The sequence below is a fragment of the Homo sapiens genome, chromosome 10, assembly GCF_000001405.40.
Source record: "Homo sapiens chromosome 10, GRCh38.p14 Primary Assembly".
Classification (NCBI taxonomy): Eukaryota; Metazoa; Chordata; class Mammalia; order Primates; family Hominidae; genus Homo; species Homo sapiens.
Genome location: NC_000010.11, coordinates 5,081,931 through 5,109,125, shown reverse-complemented (window position 1 = coordinate 5,109,125; position 27,195 = coordinate 5,081,931). Strand labels below are relative to the sequence as shown.

The window sequence follows — 27,195 nt, the reverse complement described above, 5'->3', positions numbered from 1 at the left end:
ATTATCAATGGAATGACAATAGACAGAAAATCACCCAAAAATTGGCATAGGGAACTCCAAAGTGTATGGCTTTTTCCAATTTTCAGGAACAAATAATTTAAGAAAAGATTGTGGTTACTATGAAACTTGAGGGGATGCTTATCAGCTGAGAGACATGGCTTTGATGGGGTTAAGGTGGCCAACAGCATAAGAACAGTTGAGAATGAATGTGTTAGAAAGTGTGCCCAGGTTAAAAAACACTGTTCTTCTCAAAATGCCTTAATCAATAGGCCATGACATTGTCCCAAGTTTTCAAAAAGAGTCATCTGAAATAAAAATTTGCATCCTCATGATTAGCTGATGAAATTTATACCCCTAAAAACTGCAGAATAATTACATGTCTTTGTAAGAGGTGGTCCTAAAAGTTACCAAAGTTTAAAAGCATCATGCTATTTTCCACATAATGTTTTTATTTTCCACGTAATGTTTTCAAAAGATGTTTGAGATTTTTGAAAATTGGATTAGATGTATTACCTACCATTTTAATATTAATTTGGCAGTACTATGTAATGACTTTGGGATATTTTGTGTTTCATATTTGATAGTGTACCTTATTTTATGTATAAAACAAAAAATACTTGTATATTATATACAAATATGTGTACACGTGTGCATATGTATATACATGCACACACACAAGTACACACATATACACGTGTGCATATGTACATATATACACATGTGCACATGTGTACATATGCACACATACATACGTACACATGCACACATACATATGTACACATAGTTCATTGTTTCTTTGATGTCCTGCCCCACCACGGCCCCCCAAGGGCACTGGTGTCACAGGGCCCACTTGGGGGGGTCAAGGCAGGACTCTCAGCTCTGCGGTTTTTAAAAACATTGTTCAGTGTTTTATTTACAACTATGATTATCAAAAAAAGTGCCAATATTTTCCAAGCAGAGATGGGATTGACTCCCTTCTCCTAACCTCCCCCATAGCTTCTTTCAATTATTTCTCCTTGGTGGGTGCCCTGACCACCCCTCTCACAGGGATGCCTCCTCCCCAGGCTCCAGGAGCTCTGACCCTTGCGCTGCTGTAGGGAGCCTGTGGATTGCTGGTCATCCTGTCAATATCGCTTACCTTCCAGAGTTCATGCTGTGCGAGTTCTTCCTGAAAGAGCTAAAGAGGCACTAACTGATCCACACCTGTCACCTGCTCCTTCTCTAGAGGCTGAAAACTCTACTGCAGTCCCACTATAGTATGTCTATAAATGATTATTATTCCCCCACTCCTAACTTACAGGCAAATCACACAGTTTTTAGCCCTGTTGAGCCAGAAGAAAGCACACACACACACACACACACACACACACACTTCTGAGCCAGAAGAAAACACACACTACAGAACAGAGTAGGTAAAGAATCTTTGAGAAAACATTCAATTATTTCAAAATGATAAAAATTTATTGTCTTTCTGGCCTATGGACTCAGCTGTAGTTGACTGAAGTCGCTAAACAGGACGGATTTAAGTAGAGGTGATATGTCCAGTCACCGGCATAGAGACGTCCTCTGCGTCACCATCCACACACAGGGCTTCTGGTAGACATCAGGCAAAGCCCTCCATGTTAATATTCATCTGAATATGGATAATTAGGGTGGCTAGCAAAACTGAAAAGAGAATAATGTATAATATAAATGCAATGACTCCATTACTAGGGGAGTAGTAAAGTGATTTCAATGAAGCTGTCATTAGTATGAATGTTAAGTTGTCTGACTAGTTGTAGAATCTGCCTTTCTTACCTTTATGAACATGGCTTCATAATACAGTATTTTCAAAATAATAAATTATTCAATCATATTCCCTTATCTGGAAGTTAACACGTAAAACACACAAAGTCAAATATTCAAGTATATTCCTGTACATCTGTCAGCAGAGCAGAGATACTCTGATTATACTTTCTTTTGTTACTTTACTTATTACCTGCTACTGTCTACTGTATGCAATATATTTTGTAAGATTCAGAAATGTAAATTGTTATATATGATATAGGGTCTAATATCCAAGGAGCTACAGTGCATTAAAAATTCTTATATAGAAATAACATGAAATATAAAGGAACAGATAAACACCAACTTATTACATTTTTAATGGATGATAAGAATTACTCATGCTCGCTACTCTTCCTTTCTTTTACATGGTTTCCTTTTTTTATTTATTTTCCTTGAAACTAAAAAAATATTAACAATGATATCTACCAATTTTTAAGCACTTATGAAGGGCCACTGTACTTATGCTTTTTCACACACTATCTCACCCTATCACTTGTTAAAATTTCCACTGCCAGCAGTTACATAACTTCCTGCTTTTTTTTTTTGAGATGGAGCCTCACTCTGTCATTCAGGCTGGAGTGCAGTGGTGTGATCTCAGCTCACTGCTGCATCCTTTGCCTCCTGGGTTCAAGCGATTCTCCTGCCTCAGCCTTCCAAGTAGCTGGGATTACAGGTAAGTGTCACCATGCCTGGCTAATTTTTATATTTTTAGTAGAGACAGGGTTTCACCATGTTGGCCAGGCTGGTCTCGAACTCCTGACCTCAGTCGATCTGCCCACCTCAGCCTCCCAAAGTGCTGGGATTATAGGCGTGAGCCACTGCGCCCGGCCATAACTTCCTGCTTTTCCTGCATTTACATGAATGACCGTCTATGAATCCTAGAACCTTAGACCATGAAGGAATAGTAAAGATCTTTTATCAGCTACAAATTATATACAACAATGGAGCTTCTGCCTCCACACTCACACTCCTTGATTTTAAATTTTTTTAAATTCTCTGCCTTGAGAGCTCCATATTGCAGGAAATCAAGGACAAGCGCTCCTATTCACTCCACTAAGGAAGGCTTTCTGGAGGCAAAAGCAGAGTTTGGGGCATGAACAAACATGCAAGGAGAAGGAGGAAAAACATTTGAAATAATAAAAGATGCTGAATTGACAGGATCTAGCAAGCAATTCCATATGAAGGAGGTGGGAATTGGCACCTGGACCACAAAGTTGATGGAAATGTTTTTGATTTGATAAGGAGCTGAGCAGGTTTGGGACAATGTGATATAAGCACAGATTTGGAAACATCTAATGAAGTCACATGGGCAGTATCCACAGCATGTCCAGTGGTAGAAACACCAGGCCTATATGGAACGTGCAGACTTGGCAATGATGTTGGCTGCTCTGGAAAGTTCCATGGAGTCAGGAGAGCAGAGGCACAGGTTGACCCATGCTGATCCCTGCCCACTCACCCTGCCAGAGAACAGAGCTCTGGAGTGAATCCAGCAGGAGAGTTCCAGTCTCACCTCTGACTCACATTGGCCTCTGTCCCTCTGGTATGGAGGTCACTCTCAACACCCATCCTACATTCCTTCTCCAGAAATAAATTAGATCACCCATTTACAAAGGAAACTTACCTATCACTGTTAAAATAGTGGAGATTTCTGTCTAGGCCATCTATGGCTTTCATGTCCTCTGCAGTCAACTGGAACTCAAAAACCTATCAGAAATAAAAAACTTTTATTATTTTTAGATTGCCAGTTGTGAATCCCCAAGTATATTAGACAGTAGGGTGCAGAGACAATACTTAAAATATTGGTAAGTTTTAAACAGTTATAGAAGTCAGCTCTAAACACTCAGGTGGGTCAATGAATAGCTCACGAAAAATAAGCAGAAATCCATTCCTAGATATTATGTATTGAAACTGTGCAACTCTGCAGACAAAGAGAAAATTTCAACAGAAAATGGAGAAGAAACAGCGCTGACATTGTGCCCACATGATAGGGTCACATTGTGCCCACATGATAGGGTCATGTACCTAGAAGGCCCACAAGAATCTAGAGGCAAATTTTTAAATAACAAGATTATATATTAAGTTTGATAGATATTGTTGAATTTCTATATCTCTTTAATAAACAGGTATAATGCAAACAACATTTGTTTTCAACATAATTCAAGGCAGGAATTGTCTAATTACTAACAATTTCATGTCTAAAGGAAACAGATACAGGCTTGAAGTGTATCTTACTCTCTAAATTTGAGAGACTTTAAATATCAAGAGGATGCCACTAATTGCTAACACATGGAATTGAATAAATCTATAAATTGACTAAATCACTCTAATAGTGATACAGAGAATGAGAGAGAGAGAATAAAAAACATGAACAAGTTAACAATTAGTCTAGGTAAAAGGTGTTCATTACATTTTTCTTTTAACATTTCTACACATTAGAAAATCCACAAAACAAAAAGGAAAACGTTATCAAGAGGTTCTAATAATTTTCAGTATTCTATGGATAAATATTTAAAAATACATATGGTTTAATGGAGAATGTTATAAAATTAATGATATATATATTAAAAGGCCATTTAAATAGTTGGAAATTCATCATAGGTTGAAAGTCTCAATATTGTCAAAAAGTTCTCTTCACAGTGAACTGCAGTTTCAATACAATATCAACCAAAGACTAAAATATGTACTCTTTCATGGATGTTGATGTTTCAAAATTTCATATAACAGAATAGTCAGTCAAGAATAATCAAGATATTATCAAATAAAATAAAGAGTTAGAAAAAAAGTTGTACCATTCTGGTAGCAAGACCTTTCATTATTTAGACAGTACAGAAAAGTAAATAAGTCAATTGAAGACAAAAGAGAGGCAAGAATATTATTTGTGAATGAATGTTTCATTTATGGTAGAGTAAAAAATCAAGATATGTGAGCAAATGTGAATGCTTTTCAATAATTGTTGGTGGCACCTTTTGATATCAATTTAGAAATTCCATGTGCATATTTGGGTTTTTATTTTACTTAGTATTGAAAAAGAAATTCATTTGAATTTACAACTAATTTATAAGTAAAGAGAATTACCAATTTTGCAAGATAACATATTAAAAGATTGTCATGTTCCCAATATAAGAAAAGACATGCCACTCATCAACCACAGGAAAGAGGCATGAATAATTTAACTACATGAAAAGTAGCAACTTTTGTTCATGAATACATAACTACAGAGAAAACCACAGCACATATGCAATTTGGGAGGTGGTACTTCAATAATACATCTAAATCTCTAAACGATTAATACCCAGAATATATATATGTATGTATGTGTAATCTATCTCATATATCTTATTAAACTATAATATATATATCAATCTATCATATATATTAACCTATCATATATTAATCCATCATAGATTAATAAGAAACACTTCCTCCAACACTCACATGTCCCTGTATCCACTTGCTTGGTTATATGAATTTCTAGCTCTTTCCAATAAGTGGTGGTGTCTGTTTACCCATCCCTTGAGTCTGGCCTGTCCTGTAATGTGGGTAATATTTGCCAGAAGCAATGGCGTGGCAGCCCTGAGCCTAGACATGAAAAGGCTTTGCATGTGTCCACTCACTGCCTTGGGGTCATGCCATGTGCTGAGGTGAAGTCTGGGCTGGATGGCTGCAGGATGAACTATATGGAGGAGAAAATGGCACCCAGACAAATGTCCCATTGACATCTTGAAGCAGAGCTATCTCGTTGTCCTGCAAACACATGAGAGAGCCCAGCCAAGAACAGAACTTGACTAAGTTCAGGCTGAGGCCATGCTAATTTTCTAACTAGAGAATCCTGAGTAAATCAGTGGTTTTCATCTTAAACCCCTATGTTGAGGGTGATTTGTTTAACAGCTCTATTTAATAGTATAATTATGGTCTCCTATACTTAAAAAAAAGACAAGCAACTAAGAGTCAAAGAAAGACTTAAACAGGCAGTACACAAACAGAAAACTCCAAGTGAATAAATATGTGAAATTTTAACTGAGCGTACGAAGAAATGGAAATGAAAAATCCACAATGACTGGTAGACTAAAGAACACCTAATGCTACTCCACATTTCTGAAGATGAAGAGGAGGCCAGGAGCGGTGGCTCACACCTGTAGTACCACTTTGGGAGGCCACAGCAGGTGGGTTGCCTGAGGTCAGGAGTTTGGAACTAGCCTGGCCAACATGGTGAAATACCTTCTCTATTAAAAATTACAAAAATTAGCCGGGCTTGGTGGTAGGCACCTGTAATCCCAGCTACTCAGGAGGCTGAGGCAGGAGAATCATCCCATCTGGGAGACAGAATGAGACTCTGTCTCAAAAAAAAAAAACCAAAACCAAACAAACAACATGAAAAAATGATGTTCCTGGTGCAGGGATGCAGAGTAGATTGTCAACTTAATGCTGAAATAAAAAAATCTCCATTTTTGGTCCCATCTTAATTCTCTGCACCTGTGCTGCCTCTCCCGTGGTAGAGTAGAAGAAACCCTCAGGATGCACGCAAAGCATTCATATGGGAAATACAGGGAAATGGAGCTGGCCCAAGGCTGTCCTGAGAGCCTTACAAGAAGCACACGTGTGAAGGACACTGTGCAGGAGACCTGAGGCCCACAGCCCCGCTCCTCACCTGCACGTTCTGTCTGATGCGCTGCTCATTGTAGCTCTTGGCCAGGACCACAACCCCACGCTGCAGCTGGTAGCGCAGGGCAATCAGGGCTGGGGTTCGCTTGTGCTTTTTTGCCAAGGCACAAAGGACTGGGTCCTCCAAGAGCACCGGGGAGTTCGGGTCCACCCTGGAAGGAAAGGCAGAAAGGCTGAGGCCCTGAGGCTGGCGATAGTTTGTTAGGCGGCTCCCTAAACAGACTAAGGCATCCACTCTGCACCGGAGCTTCTCAAGCGAGGCCCCCGAGCATCACCATCAGCATCATCCAAGATCTCGTCAGAAATGCAATTCTCTTTCCTCTCCATGAGCCACTTGAAACTTAACTACAGGAAACTGAGGATGCTCTGACTAAAAAATTTTCTGCAAAATGAAGGTTTATGTAAAGGTCCCATTGTTTTTATTACCATCGTTTGTCTCGTTGAGATCCCAGAGCACTATAGGCAACCAGAACAATATCTTTCGACTTGCAGAAATCTAGCAATTTACTCCGGTTGAAATACGGATGACATTCTACCTGCAGTTGACCAAAAGAGAGAAGCATCAATTTATATGAAATAGTTATGTTAATATTGAAAAGATGAAAGTAAGGAAGCTGAATAATAATCAGTATAGCATTATATTTGAGCTGAGGATATTATTGTCAAGTAATAACCTTTTTCATAGAAATAAATTTTATATATCTTCTAAAAGTATAAATGGAAATGCCATTTCTGAACAGAAGCTCATCTATGAATCAGATCCTGGCTTCCAAAGACCTTTGACAACTAGAAGGAGATGTAACAAGTTCCATATCTGGGATACAGTAAGATTCTTAGAGCCTTTGGGCTTCAGATTGTGCCAGAAAGCAAGAATTTGGTCAAGGACTCGTGAGTGCAAGTCTGAAAGACAAAAGCACTACTTTCAAAGAAATGTCACTGGTGATGTTTGGATAGATTTCAGCATCAAGAAAAAAATCTACCCATTGGGTAAGAATGAGCACTAACAAAAATTAATAAAATTAATTAAAAATCTTAAGGAAAAATGTCCAAGTCCAGAGTAATGAGTGAGATAATCAGAGAGCAAGAAAGAACAAAATAATTTGCCTCCACCATTGGTGGTTATTATAGTAATCTCTTAGGAAATTGATATTTAGAGGCAAGTATTAAACTTTGTCTTTGAGGAATATTTGTTCTTCATTTTGATTTGGTGAAGGATTTTTTTTCATAGTAAAATGTCACGTAAGAATAGTTAAATAAGGTTTTAAAATTGAAAATGATTATCTAAAAACTCCAAAAAATAATAAATACAATAATAAATAACCATTAAATACAAAAGTATTAGTGATGTTTACACAATCATATGTGAAAATTTGTCATGGAATATGACTTCTTCTGTTAGGAATTATCACCCAGTGGATTATAAGTAATTGCTGAATGGGAAACCTATGATTATAAAGAACAGATCAGCTCACAACTTGTTTCCATTCTGTTTTAAAAGGGAGCACTATAAAAGACATTTCCATTAAACAGTGGGAAATTCAAATATAGACTGGATGTTAAACGACATGAGGGCATTGCAGTTCGTTTCCTTAGATACAATAATTATACTGTAGCTGGAAGAATGTCTTCATTTCTGTGACATACTTTATTTAGGTCTATAGAGGTGAATTGTCATCTTTCCAATTTATTTTAAAGAGATTTTGAAAATATTATATGTATTTATGCAGATATACCCACATAAACATTTGCCATAAATATTTGGCAATGTGGCAAAGTGTTAACAATTTTGAATATAAATGGTTATGTTGAATCGTGTATTATTTTTATCAAATTTTCTGAAAGTTTGAAAATTATCATAATAAAAAATTGAAGGACTAATATTAAAACTGCATTTTCTTAATGTTTCTATTTGGATATGATGGAACTGTATCATTAGGCCAAATTCACAAATTTTATACACTTCACATTTCAATGGTAGATCTTTACTCATTGGCTCTAAGTTGTATAAAAGAATAAAAAAGTGTAAATTAGCAAAAAGGTAGAGTGACTTTAATTTTGAATTTTTTTGTGACATTTGGGGGAAGTCAATTTGATCAAGGAGGCCTGGAATCATTAACAATAACTCAGGGGGAAAAAAGGACTTATCCCTAAGCTATGAAAAAACCATGCATAGAATAGATGTGTTTAAACAACTGATTGGATGACAGACCCCAAAGAGAAGTAGCAGACTAAGACATGGGCAGTGATAGGTCAGGTCTATGTTCTGCTAAAGTTCCTCAGTGTTGATTTCATCCACTGTGAACAGTTACCTCCATAAACAGGTAATTTTTCTCTTTTTTTTTGAGACGGAGTTTCACTCTTGTTGCCCAGGCTGGAGTGCAATGGCGTGACCTCGGCTCACCGCAATCTCTGCCTCCTGGGTTCAAGCGATTCTCCTGCCTCAGCCTCCCAAGTAGCTGGGATTACAGGCGTGTGCCACCAAACTCAGCTAATTTTTTGTATTTTTAGTAGAGATGGGCTTTCTCCATGTTGGTCAGGCTGGTCTCAAACTCCCAACCTCAGGTGATCCACCTGCCTTTGCCTCCCAAAGTGCTGGGATTACAGGCGTAAGCCACTGCACCCGGCCTAATTTTTCTCTTTCTGACATGGATGACTTTCATTGTCTGCAGCTAATTTTTAGTATATCTATGCCCCTGGTCAAGAATTGTTGAAACATCAAGAAGAGGCATTCAGACATCCAAATTCCATGTAAACCCCTAGCACCTCTCTTCTCTTATTCTAACTCTCTGTTCACGTACAGCTCATTTCATCTTTTCCTAGCTTCATATCTATACACCATTCCCTCCAAATCACCTTCACCCATGCACTTTCTGGTCATCTTTCATAGCTTAGAGGTAAGTCCACCTTTCCTTGAGTTCTAATTGATGATTCCAGGCCTCCCTGATCAAATGGACCTCCCCTAAATATTACACACGATTCAGCATTAAACTCATTCCAATTTTTCCCTAATACTTTTCCAAGCAGGGTACAAACAAGAAATCTTCACGCCTTTCTTGACAGAAGCTTTGCTCTCTAGATAATCTTCTACTTCACAAAGATAACTGGGACAAAACAAACAGATATTTGGCAATAGGACAGGAAGAGGGGGCATGAAGAACCGAAAGGAGAGAAGGCCAAGGGAGCTCACCTGGTTGCAGACAGGCTTGTACTTGAGTCCTGGCTTGTTGAGGATCATCTCCAGCTGCCTGCGGTTGAAGTTTGACACCCCAATGGACTTGGCCAATCCTGCATCCTTACACTTCTCCATGGCCTGTGGAGAAAGGGGTTGTGAGGAATTATTTGTGCAGTTGGCTGCAAATCACGGTAAATGCAAGACAGAACTGTGAGAGCAACAACTTTCAAAGTATGACAATGAAAATAGCTAGCAGTGATTGTCAAAAAAAGAAAAATTCAAACAGCAAATAGGGGAAGAAGATAGAGGCAGCAAGAGTAAGAATTTCTATCTCTTCCTTAGGAAACTGGATAGATTAATGCACAAGCAAGGAAAGAGATTCCTGTCCTCCTTGCCCCCAAGTCTTGTGCCCCACTCTCTAAACATTCCTTTTGTGTTTTTCCCTTCATCTCACCAAAGCTACTCTTGTAAAGTTTCTGAATTTCTAGATCTAATGGTGCATATTCCATTCTTTCCTATTGAACCTGGGAAACAGATTTTCTCTTTTTGTCATCCTTCTCTGTGTCCTCTCCGCCAAGCACTCACCTCCCAGGTGGTACAGAGATCCACTATGTCAAATATTACTTTTCCATTTTCATCTGTTGGTGAAAGTTCCTCACCTGGCTGAAATAGAAGCAGTCATTTTAATGATGTCACAAATTAATTTCTCCACTCATAGCTGTAACCCCAGGTACCTTTAAGGACACTAATCCTCCATGAGACAGGTGGTACAATGCTCCAGAAAGTGATATGTGCTAAGTGTTTTACATATGAAGGTATAAGGAATGTATTCAGGAGACAGGCTTCCTCTAATCTCTTACAAATATTATATGCATGGAAAAGGACCATTTTCTAGGTCTTAATCAAGTTTCACAGTTGACTTATGTCACTTTATTCCGCCCTTATAATTTCCTCTATTGAAGTACCTCTCTTTGATTTGGAAATACCTTGATATCCAAAAATAATGGATTGTACTCTTGTACACGGTAGGATTATCAGACCACCTGAAGAGTTGATAGTCTTTGGGCAGGACTGTGAATCACATAGGGTCAGCAGAAGTTGGGAGACCCAGAGGAGTTGTCTTATGGTGATGACCATGAGCCTTGAGCTGCTCCAAAGCCATAATCGCCACCAATGAAAAAGTTTGGGTCAACAATAATAAAAAAAAGTGTTGGAGTTTAGAGATAAGAATAGACAAATGATACATTTTTGTAGACTATTTCATATCCTTAAATGTAGCCATGTCTTTGACTTCCCATTTTACATAACTCAGTAAACTCTTTTGCATTAACTAGCCTGAGTAGTTTTCTGTAACTTTAAATCAAAAGTTATACACTACACAGTAATTCCTGGCTAAATACAGCTTCAAACTCTATTGTGAAAGAAGAGGCAGCAGAATAATAAAGCTTTGCAAGTCCACATTAAGGGTTTCTAATTTAAGAACCATGCATAGTGGCTTCCACCAAATCTGCTTCAGCTTGAAATGGGGAGAGATGGTGGAAACTCATTGTGCATCACATGTGCAGCAGTTTTATTGGGCACCACAACTGCATGAAACTCTGTGTCTGGGAACATCCCAAGAGATGGACTCAAAAGCCACAACTAAGACAGTGCCTTGAAAGAGACTATTGTAATTTCAAGTTTTTGAGGAAGAGGCTTTGAGGTTGCTGTACTCTCTTCTCTTGTAGGTGTGCATTAGAGAAGTAGGATTCAAAATTTACTCGAAAGAAAGGAAATTAGGTGTTCCACTTACGGTTCTTCTTCTGTGTGATAATCCCTACATCCTCCTAATAAAAAGCTCTGTTCAACTATCCAGATAAACAATGTTTATAATGACAGCAGAAGCGCAATTTTATGCTCATACAAACTGCATACCTTTAGAGACATTGGAGAATGAATAAGATAGAGGTCAACATAGTCCAATTGAGCTTTCTTCAGTGAGTTTTCCAAGGCTGGTCGGACCAACTCTGGTCGATGAAAAGTGGACCAAAGCTGCAGAGGTTAAAGAATGGAGGTGATTTTGAATGAATGCTTGAGCAAATCTTATTACTTTGTGCCATCTAGTATTTAGATATTTTCCTACTGCTTCAAAATTTATGACCACTGGCAAACATATTCTCTTCCTTCTCATGATTCCTTTGGCTCTGACCTATCCTTATAAACTTTATTATACGTTGGATGTATAGTTTGTACATCTACTGAATGATAGGAGTAAATTCTTAAAATGTAAAGATTAGTATTAAGTAATAACTATGATGTTACCTGAATTATCTTCAGTAGAGTTTACAACTCATTTTAACAGTCTAATTCTTCTATCCATTCAACCCAATGCTTAAGAATAGCTATTTATGTTGCTTAGAAACTAAAGCAACATAAAAGGGGGGTAAAACAAGTTTTGAACATGCTCACTATGCTGGACACAATTTAGGACAATTTAAGTGTCTATTATTTAATACTCCCAGAGCTTTCTTATATTGCTTTCTATCTCACTGATAAAGATAGCAATTGAGAGAATAATAAGAAATCTTAGAAAATCACCCAGGCGATAAGAAAAACCATAACATGATTATTGTTCTCTGTGATTCTATAGCACATGTCAAATCACACTGATCTCAGCTGAAGCTCAAAAAAGTAAAGGGACTTTCAGGTCATAAATTGGAACACAGCCAAAATGAAAAGTGATCATCATTCCTTGATTTTGATTTCAGTTTTAGTATGTGAGTATGTGTGAATAAATTTGAACCCAGAAGCAAAATTCACCCACAACTACTCATCCAGTCATAGAATTGTCATCTCCACACAATCACAATAAATACATGTGCACACAAGCTCATCATAGACACAGTACCTTTGAAGTGTAGAATATGTCTTCTCTCTTCACACTGCCATCTGCAATCTTGCTTCGGATGGCCAGTCCAACCTGCTCCTCATTATTGTATAAATGAGCAGAATCTATATGGCGGAACCCAGCTTCTATTGCTAATTTTGTGACCTCCAAAGCTTTACTTCTCGGAACCTGGAGGAGCAACCAAAGGTAGTATCTGGTGATCACTGTGGCTGAGAGGTAGTTCAGGCACAAGCATTGACTTTTATACAAGAATCAGCTTTTCCTCCTGTCTGTATGTGGGGTGAAAAGTCCATCTCAGTTTGCCTGAGTCTTTCCTGGTTAGTAATAAAGGTTGAGCATCCCAGAAACACCTTCAGTCTCAGGCAATCTCTGGTTGATCACTGTTATGGAGGTACCAAATAACACCCTCAGATTCAGTGATTTGTTGGAAAAGTTAACATGACTGAAATAGTCCTAATTATTTTTAATATAGTGATATTATACATGGTAAAAATCACATGGAGTATAGAAGGGAAACGGTGCAAGCTCATATGAGTTCTCTCCCAGTGATATTACACAGAATGCTCACTCAGACTTCCTCCAACATCGTATTTGGGAAATGCTGTCTACAAGAGATGTTCTTTGGTGTCTCAGTTCTTGAGATTTTGACTGGATGCTAGTTACATCGACCCAACTAGGGTTCACTTGGGAAATAAAGCATCTGTGAATAGTAGTCTATTAAGTCTTTTCTGCATAGTCATTCTGGCTACACAACAGAACTGAACACTAGGGGTAAAGATGTATACTCTGAGGATATCGATTTGTACATTAAAAATTCACTGAAATCTGTTAAGAATTTACTAAGGTACAGTTCTGCCATAAAAAATAAGGCTATCTCTTTCAGGAAAGACAGAATTCCAGTGAAATTTAAAATTACTGACTTATTGACCAAATTTGGATAAAGATTTGAAAGGTATTTTTTAATGACAAAAATATAAATAAACTGTTTTCATTTTTACATGTATTTAAAGAAGCTTTCTTGTTTCGTTGAAATTACAAGGAACTAGATAACGGTCTCCCCGCCATCTCCTGAGAACAGTCTTTTTTTTTTTTTTTAAATCTTTTTTGAGAGCAGTCTTTAAGTGTGCCAACACTCAAAGGTTTACCAAGGCTGGAGCTTCAGTTGTGTCGTTATTTTCATTTCCTGCCCATGCCAATTTATATTAAAAATTAAACCACTTTTGTCACTGGTCTAGAAAATGTATCCTTGTAGATCATCACAACTTATCGATAAAGTGAGAGACTCAAATTTCAATAATTAGTTCCTATTCACACACTTAGTAGCCTGAGGACAGTCTTGGAATACAAGTTCTATCTAGAAAATGAGGTCTCCATTTTGTTCATTTTTGTGTCAGAAGACCACTCCTACCACTTTGATACAAATATGATGCATACAAAAAAGGACTAAGAATTTAGACTTTCCTTTGTTAGGTTCTAGATTTTACTTAAAATGAGGTGGTATTTTTTTCTTTCAGGAAGTTCTTTTTAAAAGTGAAATAGTACAGTGGAAACTCTAGTCCAGGTCCGGTAATACTGGGTGGCACTCACTGCCGCCCATCAGAACAGTGATACTCTGCCGACAGTTTTGTGCACACCATATCCAGTAATTTTTGCTATAAGTATTTCTCTGGATCGTATGTTCTTGGAAGATGGAAAGATTTCTTCAGTTGTAGAAACAGAGAAATCACTCCTATTGCAATTAATCTCCACCAGAGGGAGATGACCAACAGTGTTCTTCAATACTGAGTTTTACATATTCTGCCAAGCTGGGAACTAGACATGAACAGAAGAAAGAAACAGTGCACAAACGAAAAATAAGCAGTACGTGACCATAGGAATGGACCTCAATGCAGAACAAGGATTGCCTACTTTTTTCTCCTAGCCTAGGAAACCTAGACCAGTGAGTCATCCAGAGTAAGGTAGGAACACGAACCTTACAACCCAATACGGGTTTCACTTCTACTAGGTTTATTCTTTTGAAATCCGAAAACTAAAAGGAATTATTCTTACCTCTGGAGGTGCATAGGTGCCAAATCCCAATACAGGCATGAAGTGGCCATCATTTAGCTTTACACACTGGTGTTTGGAATCCATTCCCTGTCACTTGTCTGACTAGCAAATGTTTGCTGCTGCTTCTCCTCAGAGATTACAAAAACAATGGGCAGGAAACCCCTCCCCCCACCCCTGCAAACTGACTGATGGTTAACCAATGGCATGTAGGAGGAGGTACATAGGCAGTCTTATATGGTCTGTGGAGAAAATTGCATTCAGTTCATTTGTTTCTTATCAAAGAGAATTCCTAAGTAAATTATTATAATATATGGTTATAATAAACTCATTAATTTCTATCTAAAGTATTATTTTCTATTCTAAATCTCTATATTAAATTATTCAAAAGGATTTGTAGAACAAATAGCAACCATATGTTAGACTATAAAAACCTCCAGCTACAAATATCTTTTTTCGTTTCTGCCGTGATAATGCCCCTTCTTTATACTGCATCATTTGAAATAATTAACCATCTTACGTCTTTCTCTCACATACACATAATTTAAAGGAATGACTAATGAGAATTTTTCAAATAGTTGGTCCTCAATAAAAAATTAAAGTTAAAACTGTAAAAATATTTGCCTTTTTACATTTTCAATCAGAAAATTTATTTTGATTTTTCTTTCTTTGCGTTGTAAGAGAAATATTCATTTCTGAAGAAGATGCAGTCCTGATAAAGCTGTAATCCTGATGAGGGTGCAAATAAAAAGAAATTCTGGTGTAGTTTTTATTGGAGTGTTAATTATTAACAGTTTTTGGAGTTTGGACATCATTTAATATATGCAAGCAGTGCCTTAATAGTATTTGTTCTTCAACCAGGTTTATTACAGACTATCAAGAAGTAACTAGCCAAAAAACTGATAACCATTTTATATAATCTGTCATCTTGTTAAACATTATTTGTAAGGAAAAACTGGAAATTAATTACATATAAATGGATGAATAATTCTCATGTGGGATAGTTTTCACTTGTTCCTTCCTTTGGAGGGCAGATTAGAACATGATGAATGTAGTTTGCACAATACATTATCAACATCTTGGAGTTGTCAGAACTTGCAATGCCCTGATTTCGTTCTATTTACTTTTCCTCAAATAATAACCAAAAAGTAAGTTGAGAAATAAGTTAATTATTATACATTGATACAATATAATATAAAATCATTGAAAGCTTTTACAGAGTGATTTCAGCAATATGGTGGATCAAAAGGCCCCTACTTGTCTCATGGACGCGTCAAGAAGTGATCTGAAATTGACTAAAATAAACTTATTTATTTATGGGGGTGCTGAGTAGAAATGTAGTATGATGCCAAGGGCAAGAGATTAGGGGAAGAGACGTGCAATAGTCCGTCTAACCCATTGAGGGGAAGCTGGGGTGTGAATTTTTGAAATAGTAAGCTATTCAAAAGCCAGTAGGTATTTGGGGGAACTACTAATGGGCACACACAGTCCAGGCAGATACAAGTTCAGAAAATTGCTGACAAGGCCTTAGGGTTTTATGTTGGGCTTATGCTAAGACTAAGAACATACCAAGCATATTAGTTGATAATCGTCATGACACAGAACAAATCTATATAGAGTTAGAAAAATGTCTATATTTTGAAATGCTCAAATAAAATAATAAGGTATATAAAGAAACAGGAAAACACAGTCCCTTATAAGAAAGAAAACGAGTTGACAGAAATTATTTTTGAAGAACCATGAGCACTGAAATTAGTAGAGAAAGGTTTTAAAACAATTATCTTAAATATGCTAAAATTTCCAATTAAAAATATGGAAATAGAACTACAGGAAATTGGGAAAAGCATATACGGAAAAATGAGTGTATCAACAATGATGTAGAAATTATACAAAATAAACCAAACAAATTTTGGAGCTGAACGATATAACTGAAGTGAAAATCTCACTAGAGGATTTCAACAGCAATTTGAGCAGAATGAAGATATAATCTACATGTTTAGGGATAAGATATTTTACATCCTTGAGTCTAAGGCAAAAAAAAAAAAAAAGAGTAAAGAGATGTGAACAGACCCTAAAGGGCTTGTAGGACACCATCAAGCCAAGTAGTATACACAGCATTGGATTCTGAGAAGGAGAAGCAGGAGCCTATGGGGGTGGAGAGATTATGTGGTGAAAACAATCATCAAAAAGTTCTCAAATTGGCAACAGACATTAATCTAAATATGTGAGTAACTTAAAGAACTGGAGTTCAGATAAAGAGACCAAGGCCCACATACATTAAAATCAAACTCTAAAAGCCAACAACAAATAGACTATCTTAAAAGCAGCAGGAGAAACATAACTCTGTATTATGTACAGAACAATAAATTCTGTTCAAGATGATCAACAGATTTTTGATTAGACAATTTGAAGGATGTAATAGGTAATACATTTAATGTGGTAAAAATAAAACTGCCAACCAACAAATCTATATTTGGCAAAAATTTTTTTTTAATTAGAAAGTTATTAATACAATGTGAGATAAAAGCTGCAAGAGTCCATTGCCATTAGATCTGCTTTGCAAGAAATGGTAAAGGGACTAATTCAGCTTAAAATAAAAGCATTTTAGACAGTAACCTGAAACCATATAGAAGTATGAAGCCCTTTACTAAAGGTATACATATGGCAAAATGTGAAAATACGTGTTTTTGAAAGTTTGGTTTTATTCTACACTTCTTCAACGTTTAAAATACAAATGTGTACAAGTAAGTATAAATCTATGTTAACATGTACACAATGTATAAATTTGTAATTCATGAAATCAATAATGTGAAGTGGAAACGAAGCTGTGGAAGAAGTTTTGTATAGGATTGCAGTTAAATTGGCATTGCTTTCAAAGTAGATTTTTATAACTATAGGGTGCTGTATATAATCCCAAGAGTAACTACAAAGAAAATAACTACAGAATAAATAAAAGAGCAATTGAGAAAGGAATACAAATATTATTAAAAATCATACACAAAAAACATTGTTAATTAAGGATATGAGGATATGAAGGACAAAAAGCTAAAGACATAAATAAAAAATGACAAAGTAATTGCAGTCATGTATTACCTAACATTAGAGATATGTTCTGAAAAATACATGTTTAGGCCTGTGGCCACATTGACATTAGCCCATTGAACCAGACTTTGGAATTCTAGTCTCCAGAACTTCGAGAAAATTAATTTGTGGTGTTTCAAGCCATAACGTTTGTGGTAATTTGTTACAGCAGGAACAGAAAACTAATTTGGACGTAATTTCAGCAATTCTCATTCTCTCTTTCCTGCATCATCAGTTTTTTTTCTCTCTGCTAAGTTCTCCCTAAGAGCACACAGGCATGCTGTTTTTACTGTCATCACAAAAATAACCCTCATTTTACTCCGTTTTCTTCTTCGGTGGTTGCTCAATCGTCTGGTCCCCTTTACAGGCCATTATTTGAACATGTTCTACACTCTGTATCTAATTACTCTCATCCTACACTTTATTGAATGCACACTATTCTGACTCTTGCCTCCATCATGCTATCAAAACATTCTTGACTTTGTAAAGGTCAATAGTCAATGCCAATGGTCAATGTTGAGACTCCATCTTACTTGTCCTATTAATAGCATTTGACTCTTTTCTTAAAACAATTTCTTCATCTGACTTCTAGGACAGAACAGTCTCACTTTGTCTTGTAATTTCATCACCACTCATCAGTCTTCTTTCCTCATACATGCCATTCCATTACCATGTAGGGGCCTGGGAAATGTGAAATTTGAAATTGGAAAATTGCCCAACACAGTATAACAATGCTGGCATGTGATCACTTCCCTGGGGTCCTGAGACTGGGCTGACCCAACCAGATGACACCAATATAGCTGATACCAACACAGAAGTGCTGAAAGGTGGAGCCTCTCCTTCTATCTCCATGAAGAAGCAGCATTACCACCTCACACTACATGAGAGCCACAAAGCTGTCTATATTGAACTGGGTGAAGAGGTTCTACCCCAATTATCACTTCCTTAGAGAGCTATGGGACAGTAGTTTTTTATTTTATGGCTCTCAGCTACACTGTGGCCTGGAGATAGACAGCAGTGTGCATCTGAACTGAGAGTCACAAGGCCCAAGACAGGGATGTATTAGGGAAACAGATTGTGTTACTGACTACCCAGGTTGTGGATCAGTGCAGTTTCCTAACCCCCACAGAGAACTTCATGCTTTACAACAGAAGTTTCTCTGGTAACCTCTCTTTGGGCTGGTGCCTGTGCTCATCACTGGGGTATTTGCAGGTAATTAAGCTACTCCAGCTCTACCCAGATATATCTCTGTCACACACTGAATAGGAAGCTCAGGGCACTGATCATTCCACGGTCCATCCCATCACTTGAAACAACAGAAAGCCTCACACAGTAAACAAAGATCGAGTATATACCCATCTGCTTTGGCACAGCTGGCTCTTACTCATAAGTACCCTCTACTGGCCTGTGAATTGAACTGCGCAACTCAATGTAAAAACCTACCAACACAAGTGCCATAGGGCTATTGAAGCAAAGCCAAAATACACTACTCATGACACTCTACAATCACACCCTCAAGGGCAGAGGTATAAAGCAAAAATAGAGAAAAGAATTCCATCGGAATGAATGTAAATTCAAACCAAGAACTCTCGGCTTCTCCAAATGAGAAAAAAATCCAGTACAAGAATTCTTGCACCATAAAAAATCTGAATGTTGTGGTACTGTCAAAAAATTACACTAAGTCTCCAGCAATGGACTCTAATCAAAATAAAATTGAGAAACGTCAGGTATAGAATTCAAAGTATGGATTATAAGAAAGCTCAATAAGATCCAGAGAAGGTCAAAAACAAACACAAAGAAACTACAAAAGCAATCAAGGAAAGAAAAAAAGATATACTTATTTTGGGAAAAAACCAAAAATTTGAAAACAAAAAAATTCACTGAAGGAATTTTAAAATACAGTTTAAATCTTTGAGAGTAGACTAAACCAGCAGAAGAAAGCATTTCATATCTTGAAGACTAGTCTTTCAAATTAATCCAGTCAGAAATTTAAAAAAGAAAATAATTGTTATAAATGAACAAAGGCTTTGAGAAATATGGGATTATATAAAGCCATCAAATCTACAACTAATAAGCATTTCTAAGGAAGATGAAGAGAAGTAAGAAGTTTGAAAAACATAGTAGAAGAAATAATGCAGAAATATTTTCTTTATCCTGATAGACATTTAGAAATGAGATTCAAAAAATTCAGAGAATACCTGAAAGATACTATGCTAAATGTACATCGACAAGGCATACAGTCACCAGACCACCCAAGGTCAATAAGAATGAACAAATTTTAAAAGCAGCTACAGAGAAGCTACAAATCACCTCTAAAGAAAATCCTATTATACTAAACAGATTTAACAGCAGAAAACCTAAAAGTCGGAAGATATTGGGGGCCTATTTTTAGCCTTTTTATAGAAAAAAATGGAGAAATCATCTTTCACAGACAAGCAAATTTTAAGGGAATTTGTCACCACTAGACTAGCCCTTCAGGAAATGCTCAGAGGAATCTTAAATATAAAAATATTATGATACCATCATAAAAGGACATGAAGTACACAGGTCATAATTACTATACAGTAATTGCACAATTGAGTCTCTAAAGCAATTGGCTAACAAGACCATGACAGAAACAAAAGCTCATATATCTAGGTTAACCTTGAGCATAAATTACCTAAATCCTCCACTTAAAAGAAATAGAACAGAAAATTTGATAAAAGGACAAGACCCAACAGCTTTTATCTACAGGAGATCTACCATTAGGTCTAATGACACCTACAGATTTGTTTTCATTTACATGATATATCAATGTCAGCAAGCAGGACTAGCCATTCTTATACTAGATAAAACAGACTTTTATACCAATGATATTTTAAAAAGACAGAGAAGAGCATTATATTATAAAGATTCCATACAGCAAGAAGATTTAACCATCCTAAATATAAATGTATTCAATATTGGAGCACCCAGATTCATAAAAGAAATACTACTACACCTAAGAAAACAGACTGGGAGAAGTACAATAATAGTAAATGACATCAACACCCCACTTATAAATGTTGCAGATCATTGAGACAGAAAATCAGCCAAAAAAAAAACTCTCTGGACTTAAGCTGGAATATGAACCAAATGGACATCATAATCATTTACAGAACATTCTACCTAACAACTACAGAATACACATTTTTCTCACCTGCACATGAACCATTCTCAAAAATTGACCACATCCTTGGTTATAAAGCAAGTCTCAATAAAATTAAAAACTCAAAATCATATCAAGTATTTTTTCAGACTGCAGTTGAATAAAACTAGAAATCAATATCAAGAGGAACTCTCAAAGCTATACAAGTGCATGAAAAATTAAACAATGTGTCCCTGAACAACTTTTGGGTAAAGAATGAAATTCAGAATTCAACAGATTTTTTGAAATGAATGAAAATAGACATACAACATGCCAAAATCTCTCGGATATGGGAAAGCAGTGCTAAGAGATAAATTTATAGTGTTAAACCCTCCCTGAAAAGATAGAAAGACCTCAAACTCACCACCTAAAGTCACTTCTAAGGAACTAGAAAAATAAGAGCAAACCAAGCCCAAAGTTAGCAGAAGAAAAGAAATAAGAATGGTCACACCATAACTAAATGAAATTGAGACAAGAAAAAAAATAGGTATAAAGGATCAATGAGACAAAAATTTGGTTCTTTGAAAGGATAAACAAAATTGATAGTCAGCTAGCTAACAAAGAAAAAAAAAGAATATTCAAAAAAATACAATACAGAAAAGATAAAGGTGAGGCTGGACAAAGTGGCTTACGTCTGTAATCCCAGCACTTAGGGAGGCTGAGGCAGGGTCACTTGAGGTCAAGAGTTCGAGACTAGCCTGGCCAACATGGTGAAACCCCGCCTCTACTAAAAATACAAAAAACAGTAGCCAGGCATGGTGGTGTGTGCCTGTAATCTCAGCTACTTGGAAGGCTGAGGCAGAAGAATCGCTTGAACCTGGGAGGTCAAGGTTTCAGTGAGCTGAGATTGCCCCACTGCCCTCCAGCCTGGGCAACAGAGCGAGCCTCAAAAAAAAAAAAAAAAGAAAGAAATGATAAAGGTGACATTAAAACTGATATCAGAGAAATACAAGAGAGTATCAGTGACTCCTGTAAACATTTCTATGTGCACAAACTAGAAAATATAGAGACTTTGTCACCACCAGGCCTGCCCTAAAGGAGCTCCTGAAGGAAGCACTAAACATGGAAAGGAACAAACGGTACCAGCCACTGCAAAAACATGCCAAATTGTAAAGACCAGCGAGGCTAGGAAGAAACTGCATCAACTATCGAGCAAAATAACCAGCTAACATCATAATGACAGGATCAAATTCACACATAACAATACTAACTTTAAATGTAAATGGTCTAAATGCTCCAATTAAAAGACAGACTGGCAAATTGGATAAAGAGTCAAGACCCATCAGTGTGCTGGAAACCCATCTCACATGCAGAGACACACATAGGCTCAAAATAAAGGGATGGAGGAAGATCTATCAAGCAAATGGAAAACAAAAAAAGGCAGGGGTTGCAATCCTAGTCTCAGATAAAACAGACTTTAAACCAACAAAGATCAAAAGAGACAAAGAAGGCCACTACATAATGGTAAAAGGATCAATTCAACAAGAAGAGCTAACTATCCTAAATATATATGCATCCAATACAGGAGCACCCAGATTCATAAAGCAAGTCCTTAGTGACCTACAAAGAGACTTAGATTCCCACACAATAATAGTGGGAGACTTTAACACCCCACTGTCAACATTAGACAGATCAACGAGACAGAAAGTTAACAAGGATACCCAGGAATTGAACTCAGCTCTGCACCAAGCGGACCTAATAGACACCTACAGAGCTCTCCACCCCAAATCAATAGAACATACATTCTTTTCAGCACCACACCACACCTACTCCAAAATTGACCACATAGTTAGAAGTAAAGCTCTCCTCAGCAAATGTAAAAGAACAGAAATTATAACAAACTGTCTCTCAGATCACAGTGCAATCAAACTAGAACTCAGGATTAAGAAACTCACTCAAAACTGCTCAACTACATGGAAACTGAACAACCTGCTCCTGAATGACTACTGGGTACATAACAAAATGAAGGCAGAAATAAAGATGTTCTTTGAAACCAATGAGAACAAAGACACAACATACCAGAATCTCTGGGACACATTCAAAGCAATGTGTAGAGGGAAATTTATAGCACTAAATGCCCACAAGACAAAGCAGGAAAGATGTAAAACTGACACCCTAACATCACAATTAAAAGAGCTAGAAAAGCAAGAGCAAACATATTCAAAAGCTAGCAGAAGGCAAGAAATAACTAAGATCAGAGCAGAACTGAAGGAAATAGAGACACAAAAAACCCTTCAAAAAATTAATGAAACCAGGAGCTGGTTTTTTGAAAAGATCAACAAAATTGATAGACTGCTAGCAAGACTAATAAAAAAGAAAAGAGAGAAGAATCAAATAGACGCAATAAAAAATGATAAAGGGGATATCACCACCGATCCCTCAGAAATACAAACTACCATCAGAGAATACTGTAAACACCTCTATGCAAATAAACTAGAAAATCTAGAAGAAATGGATAAACTCCTTGACACATACATCCTCCCAAGACTAAACCAGGAAGAAGTTGAATCTCTGAATAGACCAATAACAGGCTCTGAAGTTGAGGCAATAATCAATAGCTTACCAACCAAAAAAAGTCCAGGACCAGATGGATTCACAGCTGAATTCTACCACAGGTACAAAGAAGAGCTGGTACCGTTCCTTCTGAAACTATTCCAATCAATAGAAAAAGAGGGAATCCTCCCTAACTCATTTAATGAGGCCAGCGTCATCCTGATACCAAAGCCTGGCAGAGACACAACAAAAAAAGAGAATTTTAGACCAATGTCCCTGATGAAATCGATGCAAAAATCCTCAATAAAATACTGGCAAACCGAATCCAGCAGCACATCAAAAAGCTTATCCACCATAATCAAGTGGGCTTCATCCCTGGGATGCAAGGTTGGTTCAACATATGCAAATCAATAAATGTAATCCAGCATATAAACAGAACCAAAGACAAAAACCACATGATTATCTCAATAGATGCAGAAAAGGCCTTTGACAAAATTCAACAACGCTTCATGCTAAAAACTCTCAATAAATTAGGTATTGATGGCACATATCTCAAAATAATAAGAGCTATCTATGACAAACCCACAGCTAATATCATACTGAATGGGCAAAAACTGGAAGCATTCCCTTTGAAAACTGGCACAAGACAGGGATGCCTTCTCTCACCACTCCTATTCAACAGTGTTGGAAGTTCTGGCCAGGGCAATCAGGCAGGAGAAGGAAATAAAGGGTATTCAATTAGGAAAAGAAGAAGTCAAATTGTCCCTGTTTGCAGATGACATGATTGTGTATCTAGAAAACCCCATTGTCTCAGCCCAAAATCTCCTCAAGCTGATAAGCAACTTCAGCAAAGTCTCAGGATACAAAATCAATGTGCAAAAATCACAAGCATTCTTATACACCAATAAAAGACAAACAGAGAGCCAAATCATGAATGAACTCCTATTCATAATTGCTTCAAAGAGAATAAAATACCTAGGAATCCAACTTACAAGGGATGTGAAGGACCTCTTCAAGGAGAACTACAAACCACTACTCAATGAAATAAAAGAGGATACAAAGAAATGGAAGAATATTCCATGCTCATGGGTAGGAAGAATCAATATCATGAAAATGGCCATACTGCCCAAGGTAATTTATAGATTCAATGCCATCCCCATCAAGCTACCAATTACTTTCTTCACAGAATTGGAAAAAACTACTTTAAAGTTCATATGGAACCCAAAAAGAGCCCGCCTCACCAAGTCAATCCTAAGCCAAAAGAACAAAGCCGGAGGCATCATGCTACCTGACTTCAAACTATACTACAAGGCTACAGTAACCAAAACAGTATGGTACTGGTACCAAAACAGAGATATAGACCAATGGAACAGAACAGAGCCCTCAGAAATAATGCCGCATATCTACAACTATCTGATCTTTGACAAACCTGAGAAAAACAAGCAATGGGGAAAGGATTCCCTATTTAATAAATGGTGCTGGGAAAACTGGCTAGCCACATGTAGAAAGCTGAAACTGGATCCATTCCTTACACCTTATACAAAAATCAATTCAAGATGGATTAAAGACTTACATGTAGACCTAAAGCCATAAAAACCCTAGAAGAAAACCTAGGCAATACCATTCAGGACATAGGCTTGGGCAAGGACTTCATGTCTAAAACACCAAAAGCAATGGCAACAGAAGCCAAAATTGACAAATGGGACCTAATTAAACTAAAGAGCTTCTGATAGCAAAAGAAATTACCATCAGAGTGAACAGGCAACCTACAGAATGGGAGAAAATTTTTGCAGCCTACTTATCTGACAAAGGGCTAATATCCAGAATCTACAATGAACTCAAACAAATTTACAGGGAAAAAACAAACAACCCCATCAAAAAGTGGGCAAAGTATATGAACAGACACTTCTCAAAAGAAGACATTTATGCACCCAAAAAATACATGAAAAAATGCTCATCATCACTGGCCATCAGAGAAATACAAATCAAAACCACAATGAGATACCATCTCACACCAGTTTGAATGGTGATCATTAAACAGTCAGGAAACAACAGGTGCTGGAGAGGATGTGGAGAAATAGGAACACTTTTACACTGTTGGTGGGACTGTAAACTAGTTCAACCATTGTGGAAGTCAGTGTGGCGATTGCTCAGGGATCTAGAACTAGAAATACCATTTGACCCAGCCATCCCATTACTGGGTATATACCCAAAGGATTATAAATCATGCTGCTATAAAGACACATGCACACGTATGTTTATAGCGGCACTATTCACAATAGCAAAGACTTGGAACCAACCCAAATGTCCAACAACGATAGACTGGATTAAGAAAATGTGGCACCTATACACCATGGAATACTATGCAGCCATAAAAAATGATGAGTTCATGCCCTTTTTAGGGACATGGATGAAACTGGAAACCATCATTCTCAGCCAACTATCACAAGGACAAAAAACCAAACACCGCATGTTCTCACTCATAGGTGGGAATTGAACAATGAGAACACATGGACACAGGAAGGGGAACATCACACTCTGGGGGACTGTTGTGGGGTGGGGGGAGTCGGGAGGGATAGCATTAGGAGATATATCTAATGCTAAATGACAAGTTAATGGGTGCAGCACACCAACATGGCACATGTATACATATGTAACAAACCTGCACGTTGTGCACATGTACCCTAAAACTTAAAGTGTATAATAATAAAAAAAAATAGAGAAAATAGATAAATTCCTGGAAACACACAACCTCCCAACATTGAATCAGGAAGAAATAGAAATCCAGAGCAGACCCATAATGAGTAATGAAAAATACTCTGTAATTAAATCAAATCAGTAATTAAAAATTTTCTAGTGAAAAATAGCGTGGGACCAGAGAGATTCACAACTCAATTCTGCCACACATGGAAAGAAGAGCTGGTACCAATTTTATGGAATCTCTTTTAAAAAAATGTGGAGACATTCCTCCCTAATTGTTCTACTAAACTAGTATCATCCTGATACCAAAATCAGGCAAAAACAGAACAGAAAAATAAAACTAGAGGAACATATCCTTGGAAAACATGGTCACAAATATTCTTAACAAAATACTAGCAAACTAAATCCAATAGCACATCAAAAAGATAATTCGTCATGACCAAATGGATTTCATTCCAGGGATGCAAGGATGATTAAACATACACAAATCACTGAACATGATTACACCACGATTCACCATATAAACATACTTAAAAGCAAAAAAAAAATGATCATCCCAACAGATGCCGAGTTTTGATAAAATGCAACATAAAACCTTTATGATAAAAACTCTCAGTAAACTAGACATCAAGGGAACATGACTCAAAATAATAAGGGACATCTAGGACAAATTAACAGCCAATGTCATATTGCATGGAGAAAACTTGAAAACCTTTCCCCTAAGAACTGGAACAAGACAAGGATGTCCACTCCACCACTCCTATTCAACACAAAATTGGAAGTACTATTCATGGCAATCAGGTAAAGAAAATAAATAAAAGGCATTTAAGTAGCAAAAATAAAAGTCAGATTATTTTTGTTTGCTGATGACAGGATTATATACCTAGAAAACCCTAAAGGTTCCTCAAAAAGACTCCTAGATTTAATAAACAACCTCAGTAAAGTTTCAAGAGGAGTGGACCAAGGAGCAGAAGCTCAATCTAGACAGTAAAACTCCCTCTATTTAAGGCAGAATCATCCAGAGAATTGCTAGAATGGAGAATGTTTTTTCCTCTTATGATAAAGTACAATGATCCTTCTAAGACAAACAGAATGCATCATGCAAGTAGGTTTAGGGTGAATGCCATGTAGCTTCTACTTCTCTCTTGCAACTTGGAGATA

At 37.0% G+C, this 27,195-nt stretch overlaps 1 protein-coding gene and 1 non-coding gene across 4 annotated transcripts in view, besides 2 other annotated features; one reads left to right on the top strand and one right to left on the bottom strand.

Annotated features, from left to right (window-relative positions):
* AKR1C3 (aldo-keto reductase family 1 member C3) overlaps positions 1,440–27,195 on the bottom strand; it is a 58,906-nt gene continuing 33,150 nt past the window's right edge. The window contains exons 1-9 of one of the 3 annotated variants that reach the window (NM_003739.6): positions 14,598–14,712; positions 12,549–12,716; positions 11,576–11,692; positions 10,247–10,324; positions 9,677–9,799; positions 6,916–7,025; positions 6,476–6,641; positions 3,449–3,531; positions 1,440–1,665 (exon numbers count right to left, since the gene is read on the bottom strand). In NM_003739.6, coding sequence (NP_003730.4) covers positions 1,623–1,665; positions 3,449–3,531; positions 6,476–6,641; positions 6,916–7,025; positions 9,677–9,799; positions 10,247–10,324; positions 11,576–11,692; positions 12,549–12,716; positions 14,598–14,681 — 972 coding nt within the window. In that variant the 5' untranslated portion in view covers positions 14,682–14,712 and the 3' untranslated portion in view covers positions 1,440–1,622. Of the gene's footprint in view, positions 1,666–3,448; positions 3,532–6,475; positions 6,642–6,915; positions 7,026–9,676; positions 9,800–10,246; positions 10,325–10,949; positions 11,693–12,548; positions 12,717–14,597; positions 14,713–27,195 lie in introns of those variants that run through there. The other 2 variants (NM_001253908.2, NM_001253909.2) reach the window with 2 other exon arrangements.
* Positions 14,575–14,869: an enhancer, noted in NCBI's record as "tiled region #1972; K562 Activating non-DNase unmatched - State 6:EnhF". NCBI's record gives its function as "activates a minimal TATA promoter and a strong SV40 promoter by Sharpr-MPRA in K562 cells {active_cell/tissue: K562}" and the evidence as "EXISTENCE:reporter gene assay evidence [ECO:0000049][PMID:27701403]".
* LOC124900291 (U8 small nucleolar RNA) lies at positions 15,583–15,718 on the top strand. The gene has a single exon (XR_007062398.1). It is a non-coding gene; the product is annotated as a U8 small nucleolar RNA (small nucleolar RNA).
* Positions 18,935–19,229: a silencer, noted in NCBI's record as "tiled region #11333; HepG2 Repressive DNase matched - State 12:CtcfO, and K562 Repressive non-DNase unmatched - State 13:Ctcf". NCBI's record gives its function as "represses a minimal TATA promoter and a strong SV40 promoter by Sharpr-MPRA in HepG2 and K562 cells {active_cell/tissue: HepG2 | K562}" and the evidence as "EXISTENCE:reporter gene assay evidence [ECO:0000049][PMID:27701403]".